Source organism: Homo sapiens, chromosome 20 (genome assembly GCF_000001405.40).
Source record: "Homo sapiens chromosome 20, GRCh38.p14 Primary Assembly".
NCBI lineage: Eukaryota > Metazoa > Chordata > Mammalia > Primates > Hominidae > Homo > Homo sapiens.
The window spans coordinates 34,781,904-34,795,048 of NC_000020.11; the positions used below are offsets into that span (position 1 = coordinate 34,781,904).

At 38.9% G+C, this 13,145-nt stretch overlaps 1 protein-coding gene across 36 annotated transcripts in view; it reads right to left on the minus strand.

Moving 5' to 3' along the window:
- NCOA6 (nuclear receptor coactivator 6) overlaps window positions 1-13,145 on the minus strand; it is a 110,878-nt gene that overhangs the window by 67,130 nt on the left and 30,603 nt on the right. For all 36 annotated transcript variants that reach the window (XM_047440068.1, XM_047440055.1, NM_001438234.1 and 33 more), the window contains 2 exons: window positions 10,547-10,660; window positions 218-501 (listed from right to left, as the gene is read on the minus strand). In XM_047440068.1, coding sequence (XP_047296024.1) covers window positions 218-452 — 235 coding nt within the window. In that variant the 5' untranslated portion in view covers window positions 453-501; window positions 10,547-10,660. The remainder of the gene's footprint in view (window positions 1-217; window positions 502-10,546; window positions 10,661-13,145) is intronic.

The following is a 13,145-nucleotide window of genomic DNA, read 5'->3' on the forward strand; positions in this document are numbered from 1 at the left end:
ATTACCATAATAAGCAACACTTTATGTTCAGTTCTTCTATGTACTTAAAAAGAAAGAAAACATGTATATTTTTAAAATCCTAAAATTCCACCTCTGTGCTTAAATTCAGCCTTTTGACCCAATTTAACAAGCTTGTTTTGTAAAACTCAAGATAACCATGGAAGGGCAAACATTTCAAAAACAGTAACAGGAAGAAAAAATAATTAAAGCAAATTACCCATGTGTAACAAATTGGGCACGTTTTTCAATATTGCATCTAATTTCCATTTGAAGTCTTTATCATCTATATTTCCTTTGAAGGCCACAAAAATTGTGGAATCCTCCAAAATACTATCACTTTTTGTGTCATCATCTTCTAGTCCAGAGTCAAAATCCATCTCTGAGTCTTCCATTGTTGATGAACACAAGGAAGTATAGATGTCTTCTAAGTTTGGAAGGTCATCCAAAACCATGGTGAATATTATTCCAGAAGCATATGCCAAGAGGACAATAAGAAAACTTCTGAAAAGAGAAGATGCAAAAGAGCATTACAATGCATAGTTATGCATTCAACAATGTATAATTCATAGTTCTATGAAAATTATAATTTATTTAATAAGAAAATACTATAAAAATTAAGAAATTACAGAGAAGATAAGCTATTTTAATTATGACATTCTAAAACAATTAGTTCTTACAGTTACCAAAAATAAAAATACACTAGTCTTAAATTTAACATTCTTTTTATTATGTTATATGCTACTTTTTTATAAGCTAGAATGTCAGGAGAAGGGAAGAAAGGATCACAAGAAAATAAAACAAGTACATACTTTTTGAGAATTATAGGCCTTTGGTTGACCCCACAGAGCAAGGGGCTCCCCAAGACTCCCCCTACTTCTGTCTTGACAAAAGCTTAAAAGGAGCCAAGGTTTCTAAAGCCTTCTTCTTTCTCCAAACTACAAAGCACAACCAGACCTGACTAATAGCAACTGGATGATTACCTAAAATTCTGAAGTCTTTCATGAACCATTTTAAACAACTATTAAAGGGTTATTAACAGTGGAATGGCTGAAAATAATGATTCTGAAATAAACACTTAAAAATTCTTATATGAAAGGGCTGGGCGCAGTGGCTCACACCTGTAATCCCAGCACTTTGGGAGGTCAAGGTGGGCAGATCACTTGAGGTCAGGAGTTTGAGACCAGCCTGGCCAACATAATGAAACCCTGCCACTACTAAAACACAAAAATAAGCTGGACATGGTGGTGTATGCCTGTAATCCCAGCTACTAGGGAGGCTGAGGCAGGAGAATTGCTTGAATCCAGGAGGGTGGAGGTTGAAGGGAGCCGAGGTTGCGTCACTGCACTCCAGCCTGGGCAACAGAGCAAGACTCCGTCTCAAAAAAAAAAGGGGGTTGATATGGACAGGTAATCTTTATGGAGGTAAAGAACTGTGTTCCGGACAGAATTAAATTGCTTCCTAAATTTTAGATATAAAGAAGTTACATTTTCTGCTATCTTCAGGTATGCTGCTTACCAAAGAGTACATGTATTAAAGATCACACAGTGTGGCCATTTCCTCTGTTAGTTTGGGGATTGAAGATCACATACTTAACCCAAAAGTAAATGAATGAACATTAATTTTCAGCATTTGCGGTAAGCAAAAATGGCATGGAAACCTAAGAACCTCCCACAAATGTTCTAATAAAATAATTCCTTATAATTTTAACTATAATACAACATTGATTGATTGATTGATTGAGACAGAGTCTCACTTTTTTGCCCAGGCTGCACTGCGGTGGCACAATTCGGCTCACTGCAACCTCCACCTCCCAGGTTCAAGCAATTCTCCTGCCTCAGCCTCCCGAGTAGCTGGGACTACAGGCAAGCACCATCATGCCTGGCTAATCTTTTGTAGTTTTAGTAGAGATGGGGTTTTGCCATGTTGCCCAGGCTGGTCTTGAACTTCTGAGCTCAAGCAAGCCATTCACCTTGGCCTCCCAAAGTGCTAGAATTACAGGCGTGAGCCACCTTTTATTTATTTATGGCACTTATTTATTTATGGCACATGTCCAGCCTTTATTTATGGCACTTATTTATATTATTAAAGTATTACGAATTATTACTTTATACTTATAACTATAATTACAAGTTTCTTAAAAAAAAGATGGATAAGAAAATTAATCCCCTAAAAAGCAACTATATTAGGTTGGTAGGATCATTGATAAATTTTATTTTCCTATTTTCCAAATATGCTGCAAATCATTAGGAAATACAAAACTGCTGTAATATGGTTATATTCCTTGCATAAATGAAAAAAAGTAACTCAAACACCGTTTAACTTTTTTTTTTTTAATTTATTTTTTTGAGACACGGTCTTTCTCTGTTGCTGGAATGTAGTGGCAAAAACATGGCTCACTGCAGCCTCAACCTCCTGGGCTCAAGTGATCCTCTCGCCTCAGCTTCCCAAGCAGCTGGGGTTACAGGCGTGTACCACCGTGCCCAGCTAATTTTTAAAATTTTTTGCAGAGATTGGATCTTGCCATATTGCCCAGGCTGGTCTCAAACTCTTAGGCTCAGGTGATCCTCCCACCTTGGCCTCCCAAAGTGCTGGGATTACAGGCATGAGCTACCATGTCCAACCAATTTTTCTTTTTTAAATAGTGAGGCTGGTGGATGGCTTGAGGGCAGCGATTTAAGACCAGCCTGGGCAACACTGTGAGACCTTGTCTCTACAAAAAATAAAAAAATTAACTGGGTGTGGTGGTGCATGCCTATAGCCCCAGCTACTCAGGAGGCTGAGGCGGGAGGATCCCTCAAACCCAGGAGTTCGAGGCAGCAGTGAGCTACGATAGTGCCACTGCATTCCAGTATGGGTGATAGCAACATTTTTGTCTCTAAAAATAAAAATAAAATAGGCTGGGCGCGGTGGCTCATGTCTGTAATCCCAGCACTTTAGGCGGCTGAGGTGGGCAGATCACCTGAGGTCAGGATTTCGAGACCAGCCTGGTCAACATGGTGAAACCCCGTCTTTACTGAAAATAGAAAAATTAGCTGGGCATGGTAGCAGGCGCCTATAATCCCAGCTACTTGGGAGGCTGAGGCAGGAGAATCACTTGAACCCTGGAGGCGGAGGCTGCAGTGAGCTGAGATCGCACCACTGCACTCCAGCCTAGGGGACAAGAGCAAGACTTCATCTCAAAAATAAATAAATAAAATAAAATAAAAAAATTACTACTGACTAAACTTCAACAGCAAAGGCTTTCCAAAAACCAACCTAAGCAATCCTTGGGGGAAAAATTCTTCTGTTATAAGTAAATATGGCAAAAATACTTCCAAATTTGAGCAGAGCACCTTGTGTTCTGGCAATTATATCCTTTTCTAGTGCTATGACTGTTACAATGAAACTGATTTGGGTGGTTAAGAAACAACAGCAGGGTCAGTGGCTCATACCTGTATTCCTAGCACTTTGGGAGGCAGAGGCAGGAGTGCTGTTTGAGCCCAGGAGTTCCAGACCAGGCTAGGTAACAGCGAGACCATGTCTCAATTTTTTTAAAAATTAAAAAAAAAAAAAAAAAGATACAACAGCAGTCAGAAAATCTCAAATTAATACCACTGCCCTTATTTGATTGCCATCTGCATTTTACAGATTTTTAATAAACTTTAGAGGTAATTAAACAAAACTAATGAAGATTTTTAGGGCTTAAAAGTTGCTGCTTAGCAGGAAAAATGATGACTGCCTAAAAAACTATGACTATTTAGCAGCTATTCCAAAGTTGGAACAACTGCAAGAAAACATCTTAAAATCTAAGAAACATTTTCCAAAAGAATCTTTAACCAGAAAGGAGACTAACTAAAAAGCCTGGACTTTGATAGTCTCCCTAAACAGGTCGTTGGTCATGACATGAGGACTATGTATCTAGATCTGGAAAATCTTCTACTGGCAGATACAGGAATTGTCAGTTTAACAATACTATGGGCATTACACAGTACTTAAAAAAAAAAAAAAAAACAGAGAGAAATTGAAAGTCAGTCTATGAAAAATTGCTGGCTTTCCCTCCAGAAAAAATAATTTTTAAAGAAACTTCTTTGGTTGGTAGGCTATTTATTACTGCCTCAATTTCAGAACTTGTTAATTGGTATACTCAGAGATTTAATTTTTTCCTGGTTCAGTCTTCCTGGTTCAGCTGAGAGTGTATGTGTCCAGGAATTTATCCATTTCTTCTAGATTTTCTAGTTTATGTACATAGAGGTGTTTATAGTATTCTCTGATGGTTGTTTGTATTTCTGTGGGGTCAGTGGTGATAGCCCCCTTATCATTTCTGATTGTGCTTATTTAATTCTTTTTTCTTCTTTATTAGACCTGCTAGCGATCTATTATAGCTAGTGATCTATCAATTTTTTTCAAAAAACCAGCTTCTGGATTCACTGATTTTTTGAAGGGTTTTTCACATCTCTATCTCCTTCAGTTCAGCTCTATTCTTGGTTATTTCTTGATCTTTTGCTAGCTTTGGGGTTTATTTGCTCTTCATTTTCCAGTTCTTTTAGTTGAGATGTTAGGTTGTTAACTTGAGATCTCTCTAGCTTTTTGATGTGGGCATTTAGTGCTATAAATTTCCCACTTAACACTGTTTAACACTGTCCCAGAGATTCTGGTATGTTGTCTCTGTTCTCATTAGTTTCAAAGAACTTCTTCATTTCTGCCTTAATTTCATTATTTACCCAAAAGTCATTCACGAGCAGGTTGTTCAATTTCCATATAGTTGTGTGGTTATGAGTGAACTTCTTAATCTTGAGTTCTAATTTGATTGTGCTATGATCTGAGAGACTGTTATGACTAAATAGGATTCCCTATTTAATAAATGGTGCTGAAAGAACTGGCTAGCCATATGCAGAAAATTGAAACTGGACCCCTTCCTTACGCCATCCTTACAAAAATTAACTCAAAATGGATTAAAGACTTAAATGTAAAACCCAAAACTAAAAAACTTCAGAAGAAAATCTAGGCAATACCATTCAGGACATGGGCATGGGCAAAGATTTCATGATAAAAACGCCAAAAGCAACTGCAACAAAAAAATTGAAAGTGGGATCTAATTAAAATAAAGAGCTTCTGCACAGCAAAAGAAACTATCATCGGAGTGAACAGACAACCTACAGAATGGGACAAAATTTTTGCAATCTACCCATCTGACAAAGGTCTAATATCCAGGGCCCACAAGAAACTTAAACAAATTTATGAAAAAAAAAAAACAACCCCATTAAAAAGTGCGCTTTCAGGTCTCCCCTGCCTCCAATCTTATTGTCCTCCAATCTGTCTCCAGACAGCAGCCACAGGGATCTTTCTAAAACACAAAATAGGCCAGGTGTGGTGGTTCAGGCCTGTAATCCCAGCACTTTGGGAGGCTGAGGTTGGAGGATCATTTGAGCCCAGGATTTTGAGACCACTCCTGCCAACACAGTAAGACCCCGACTCTACAAAAAAAATTTAAAAATTAACCAGGTGTGGTGATGCACACCTGTAGTCCCAGCTACATGGGAGGCTAGGGTGGCAGAACTGCTTGAGCCTGGGAAGTCAAGGCTACAGTGAGCTATGATTGTGCCACTACACTCCAGCCTGGGTAAGAGAGCAAGTTCCCGCTCTTAAAAAAAAAAAAAAAATTAAAAGAGATCAATTTTGGAGATGGCTTAATAGGCCTAGGAAACAAGTTATTGAGGAAAAACCTCAAAACAAACTTTGCCATTTACAAATTAACCTGTATTTGATGCAGGACCGGCAAGCCTCCAAAGTGGGGCTTAGCCTTCAAGCGTTCTTGGCTTCGCCCAGGAGAACTTAAGGGTGAGCCAGGGTAGGGTAGAAGAAAACAGCTCTATTGAAGCTGCAGTGTTACAACTCTGTGACTGCTCCTGCAGAGCAGGACTACCCCATAGGCAGTGTGCTGAGACTGGCAGCTCAGAGCAGTTTTGCAATTATATTTATACCTAATTTTTTTTTTTTTTTTGGAGATGAAGTCTTGCTCTGTCACCTAGGCTGGAGTGCAGTGGTGTGATCTCAGCTCACAGCAACCGCCGCCTTCCAGGTTCAAGCAATTTTCCTGCCTCAGCTTCCCAGTTAGCTGAGACTACAGGCAGATGCCACCACGCTTGACTAATTTTTTGTATTTTAGTAGAGATGGAGTTTCACCGTGTTGCCCAGGCTGGTCTCGAACTCCTGAGCTCAAGCAATCCGCCCACCTTGGCCTCCTACTGTACCTGGCCAGCAGTTATATTTATATCTACTTTTATGTATTTCATTTATTTTAATTTTTTTGAGATGGAGTCTAGCTCTGTCTCGCCCAGGCTGGAGTGCAGTGACACATTTTAGTAGAGATGGGGTTTCACCGTGTTGCCCAGGCTGGTCTTGAACTCCTGACCTCAGGTGATCCACCCGCCTCGGCCTCCCAAAGTGTTGGGATTACAGGCGTGAGCCATCGTGCCTGGCCTATACCTACTTTTAAGCATGTAGATTAACAGGTGGTTTATGCAGAAATTGCTAGCAGAAGTATGGTAACTTTTGGGTAGTCAGGTCATTGCCACGGAGAGGGGTGGTAAGTCTTGGGTGTTGTCATGGTAATGGTAAACTGACATGGCACACTGGTGGATGTGTCTTATGGAAAGCTGCTCCTGCCCCATCCCTGTTTTAGCAGTCCTCAATTTGGTCTGGTGTTCAAGCCCTGCCTCTGGAGTCAATTTCCACCTCCTACCTCATATTTAGGCTTAACTGAAGGACATATAGGTTTTAAAGTTGAAGATTAAGTAAACAGCCTGTAATTCCAGCACTTTGAGAGGCCGAAGCAGGCGGATCACCTGAGGTCAGGAGTTCAAGACCAGCCTGACCAACATGGAGAAACCCCGTCTCTACTAAAAATACAAAATTAGCCGGGCATGGTGGCACATGCCTGTAATCCCAGCTACTGGGAGGCTAAGGCAGGAGAATCACTTGAACCTGGGAGGCCGAGGTTGCGGTGAACATAGCGCCATTGCATTCCAGCCTGGGTAACAAGAGTGAAACTCCGTCTCAAAAATAAATAAATAAATAAATAAATCTCTTTAGCAGGTTGATGTTTTGCCTTGGTGTGCCAATGAATTGCTAGATTATGTGTCAAGTTCAAAGCATCTGAAAATTTCAAGTTACAACTTACAAAAAAGTATATACTATAGGTTACGTGGAAGCCTGATATTAGGAAATCAACAATTCATCTAAGTGCTGTATGAAGCAGCATCTAGAAAGCTTTATTCAACAAACTTTGAGGGAACTATGGTAGTAGTAATGAGAAAAGTTAAGTAAATAGCAGTGATCAAATGCAATTTCTTCAAGTTTCAATCTATGGAAGTCAACCAATGACAACAATGGTATCTTTCTTACTCATCTAACAAATAATTTACCTTTAGAAAAATATAAGGATAAAAAGGTTATTGTAAAGCCCTACAAGGAGGAAATCCAACAGTTTTTCTGATTACTGAGGCATCAAATGCCTGACATTGTATTTACAGGTATCTTGATATTGTGTCACAGGTTTATCAGCAGTTCCCCAAGTTCCTACTCCAACTTTGCATAAAGGCTTACTATGGCTAGGTGTGCTGGTTCACACCTGTAATCCCAGCACTTTGGGAAGCCGAGGTGGGCAGACGGCTTGAGCTCAGGCTTTTGAGACCAGCCTGGGGAACATGGTGAAACCCCATTTCTACAGAAAATACAAATATTAGCTGGGCCTGGTGGTGTGTGCCTGTAGTCCCAGCAACTCATGAGGCTGAGGTGAAACAATCCCTTGAGCCTGAGGGGAGTGAGGGGAAGGGTGGAGGTTGTGGTGAGCTGAAATTGTGCTACTGCACTATTGCTGCTCTGAGCAACAGAGTGAGACTCTGTCTCAAAAAAATTAAAAATGACTATAAATACTCGGTAAATGTCAAAGTGTTATAGTCACACACAGCATAACAATAAAATAATATTCTTCACGGCAATTATTCCTGCCTTAAATGGAAGAATATTCACTGAAAAACATTAATGTAAAAACAAAATTTAAGAAAGGCCGGGCGGGCACAGTGGCTCACACCTGTAATCCCAGTACTTTCGGAGGCCAAGGCGGGTGGATCACTTGAGGTCAGGAGTTCGAGACCAGCCTGGCCAACGTGGCAAATCCCATTTCTACTATTAAAAAAAAAAAAAAAAATTAAGAATAACTCTAAATTACACATATATTCACAGCAACATTATTCACAATAGCCAAAAACTCAAATGTCCATTAACAGGTGAATGGATAAACAAACTGTGGTAGATACATATAGATAGAATATTATTTAGATATAATAAGGAATGAAGTGCTGATACATGCTACAACGGAGATAAACCTCAAAAACTATATGCTAAGTAACAGAAGCCAGACATAAAAGGTCATATATTGCATAACTCCATTTATTTATTTTATTATTTATTTATTTATTTAATTATTTTGAGATGGAGTCTCGCTGTGTTGCCCAGGCTGGAATGCAGTGGTGTGACCTCGGCTCACTGTAAGCTCCGCCTCCCAGGTTCATGCCATTCTCCTGCCTCAACCTCCCGAGCAGCTGAGACCACAGGCACCCACCACTACGCCCAGCTAATTTTTTTGCATTTTTAGTAAAGACAGGGTTTCACCGTGTTAGCCAGGATGGTCTCGATCTCCTGACCTCGTGATGTACCCGCCTCGGCCTCCCAAAGTGCTGGGACCACAGGCGTGAGCCACCACGCCTGGCCTATTATTATTTTTGAGACGGAGTCTGGCTCTGTCACCCAGGCAGGAGTGCAGTGGCGTGATCTTGGCTCACTGCAACCTCTGCCTCCCAGGTTCAAGTGATTCTCCTGCCTCAGCCTTCCAAGTAGCTGGGATTACAGGCACGCACCACCATGCCTGGCTAATTTTGTTTGTTTTTAGGAGAGATGAGGTTTCACCATATTGGCCAGGCTAGTCTCAAACTCCTGACCTCAAGTGATACACCCGCCTCAGCCTCCCAAAGTGTTGGGATATCAGCCGTGAGCCACCGCACCCGGTCTAATTTGTATGAAATATCTAGAATAAGTAAATTCACAGAGACAGACAGACGGATTAGTGGTTGTGAGCGGGAGGTATAGGGGATGGGGAATGGGACATCTTAATGGTTATGAAGTTTCATTTTGGAGTGACAGACATGTTTTGGAACTAGATAGAAGTGGTGGTTGTAGTACAATGTGAATCTACTAAATGCCACTGAACTGTTCACTTTAAAATGGCTAATTTATGTTACGTGCATTTCAACCTGATGCATTTTTAACAACTCAGAACTCAGCCCACTCCATACAGAAAGTAGCACATTTAATTTCTTCTCGAAACATGCTTTTAGAAAAGTATTTTCCCTAGGTAATTTTTCTTGTATCTTTTTACTGCTTTAAAATGTCAATTGTGCACCCATCATGAGTATTCTCTAAGTAGGGAGCAGCAGTCTTTGTCAGTCAGATAAAGATTTACATAGAAGAGTAGCTGCTTGTGGCAACAGCTCTACAGTGCTTGCTTCCTTCTTTGTTCCTAATAGCACTCCTTCTTTCCTCCTAGGATCTGGGAGTGAAGGACTGGTCGTACCTCAATGCACTGCTCACCCTGGCAGAAATGACGGCCTTCTGCTCCTGGCACAAAGCTCTTAAGTCTCAGAATGAAAGAAAAAAAAACTTTCTAGATACAAAAACTACTTCTCAGTAACTTGCAAATGTCAGTGTCTTTAAGGAAAACCAGCAATAAACTCTTAAATTACATTTAATGTAAACAATGACTGCTTGCCAGAGTAGTCACTTCAACAAACTGAGATAAAAATCTAAGGATGTTAGGGCACCAAGGCACATACCCAAACCCCTGTCATAATACTGTACATGAAGGAAATTCTCAAAAGAAGAAGGAGAGAGGGCAGGGAGATGATGCAAAAATGTTCTAATATTAGCAACTTCTCATGGGCTTATGAAGCACTTCTGAAGAGTCCCCTGTGCCAATTTAAACCCATTATGACATACCTCCCAGTGGGGGACTGCCAGGATCTGTTATTGGAGTGCTATACAAAAGCTAGGAGGGAGGGAAATAGAAATTTCAAGATAAAAACAGTCTAATTTTTTCTGGGCTTTAGCTCACCTCAGATCTAAATACAGCATCAAACTAGAGTTATGTTGAGTTTGCAACTTTCAACATATATTTCTATTTTTAATCAAAGGTATTTATTTGAAGTACAATATCCTATTATCATTTTAATCAACATAAATTCTAAAAATAAGTATTGTTTACTGGTCTTTCATTGTCTTCTACAGTGAAACCTAAGATTATCATTTATAAAAAAGATGAGAAACTACATAGTTTGTAGTAAAAACCCCATTTAAAAACAGAAGAATAGCATCTGTATTTTATTAAATGTCTCCAAGAATAATAAATGCATTCTACACAGTTTTTCCAAAAGAGAGACAGTATCAGAAAAAAAAAAAAAAGAATAAGCATTAAGTTGGCTTTATTAACTCTCTCGCATAAGGTTTCACTCACCAAAATCTCTTTCTTAATTTTTATCATTTATCCAGGTCATCTTCTAAGTCCAAAGAAGCTGGCATTTTTAGGGCTTGGATTTCAAGGTAGCAGCCCAGCAGCCAAATCAAAATTCTAAAAACAAACAACAACAACAACAACAAAAAGAGAGAGAGAGATAAAATAAAACCACAGTATTATATAGAAATTAAAGATTTCTTTAATTTCATAACCTATCTTTTCAACAAAAGTCAATGTAAATATCACAAGTTATCAAGTCAGCATTGGCATCTTTAGAGAATGTTAAAACAGGGTTTTCATTAAGTCTACAAAGATTATCTTTTCTGATTTTTTTTTTTTTTTTTTTTTGAGACAGGGTCTCACTCTGTCACCCAGGCTGGAGTGCAGTAACAGATCATAGCTCACTGCAGCTCAACCTCCTAGGCTCAAGCAATCCTCCCACCTCAGGCTCCCAAGTAGCTGGGACCACAGGCGCATGCCACCACATCTGGATAATTTTTTTGTATTTTTTTTGGTAGAGATGGGGTTTCACCATGTTGCCCAGGCTAGTCTTGAACTTCTGGGCTCAAGCGATCCACCCGCCTGAGCCTCCCAAAGTGCTGAGATTACAAGCATGAGCCACTGCCCCCAGCCTTTTTTGAGATTTTAGGCCACTCATCAGCAAGCATTCAAAGATTGTAGAAGCAAAACTCACAGACTTATACAAGCATCACTTAAGAATCATAAAACTGTCACTTTAAGCCTTAGAGCCCTCTCTATACCTTCATTCTTAATTCTGTCCAGATTAATTAACATCAGGTCACACTATCTGCATATGCTTAGAGCCCAAAACAAAATATTTTGTACACATACAAAATACAAGACCCGCTTTTCTAACAGGATTTCAAATTTAGCTTTTTAAACTTGACAAAGTTTTAGGTGTAAGTTTTTTTCCTATTTTATCCATAATATCTATACATTATATTTTTCATTAAATTTTCAGTTTAAGTCTTGAAATATTTACTGTAGATATAAAACTTATGCATGGAACTTGCATGGTGGTGCATGCCGGTGGTCCCAGCTATTCAGGTGACTAAAGCAGGAGGATCACTTGAGGTCAAGAGTTTGAGGTTACAGTGAGCTATGATCATGCCACTGCAATCCAGTCTGGGCAAGAAAGCTAGATCCTGTCTCTAAAAAAAATAATAATAAAGCCATAAGAGAAAAGATTGATAAGTTCAAATGCAAAAAAAAATCAATTCTGCAAAGCAAAAAACATTGTAAGTCAAAAAAACAACAAACTAAGAAAAAAATACTTGCAATCATATCAGTGATAAAAGAACAAATCTCCCTATATAGAATGATATAGAAAAAAATATGCATAGGTATGTGTATGTATATGTGCTTATACAGGCACATAAAATAAAAAGATCAATTTGGACAAATGTATAAAAATGGACACAGAATATGATCAGAAAATTCACAGAAAAAGAAATACAAACGAACATTCAACATATGAAAAGATGTTTACCCTCACACAAAAGAAGCAAAAAACAATTTTTCACTCATCAGATTAGCAAAACTCCAAAAATTTGATAATTTACTGTTCCCAGCAAGGTTATGGTGAAACAGGCACTCTTATTCATTGCTGGCGGTAGTGCAAATTGGTACACCAGCAATTAAGTAATGTCTTTCAAAATCACAATTACAAGCTGGGTGTGCTGGCACACACCTGTAATCCTGGGTACTTGAGAGGCTAAGACAGGAGGACTACTTGAGGCCAGGAGTTCAAGGCTGTGGTGAGCTATAATAGCATCTGTAAATAGCCACTGCACTCAAGTCTGGGCAACACAGTGAAACTTCATCTCTTAAAAAAAATTACAATTGCATAAACTATTAACCTAGCAATTCCACTTCTGGATAGCAATCCTACAGATACACTTATCATCATATAAGATGACGTATGTATAGTGTTATGCACTACAGCACTGCTTGTAATAGAAAAGTTAGGAAATTACCCAGATGTCCATCAATGGGACTGATTTAAATTATAGAACATCCTTAAAAATGAAATGCAAAAAAAAAGAAACACAGCAAGAAGGAAAATGCTGTCTGTGTACTGACACAAAAAGATCTCCAAGATATATTTTTGAGAGAAAAAAAACAGAGTAAACCATTGAGTACCTTGTGCTACTTTTTTTGGGGAAAGGGGAGAAAAAATATTTTATACATGCTAGTGCTAAAATACTCTAGAAAGAAATATAAGACCAATAAAAATGGTTATCTTACAAGGTGAATTTAAAAAATGATGTTATACCAGAGGGAAGGAAGCACTCACACTAATGAGGAGTGTGTTACAAGAACACAGGAGCCAGTTTTAAGGGTTTTCCACTGGGCAAATTTGAGACAATTTGAGTACCAAAAGAGAATAATTACTAAAATTGATATCATGAATAAGAATCCATGAATCTCCAGCAATAACTCAGAGAGTGAAAAACTTTAAAAAAAAACACTTCTTCCCATCATTGGAGGTAACTATGACATTAATGACTTATTCTGAAGATTGATAATTAAAGAGAAAGAAATAAGCAATTTACAGCCTTTTTAGAAGGGTTCATCC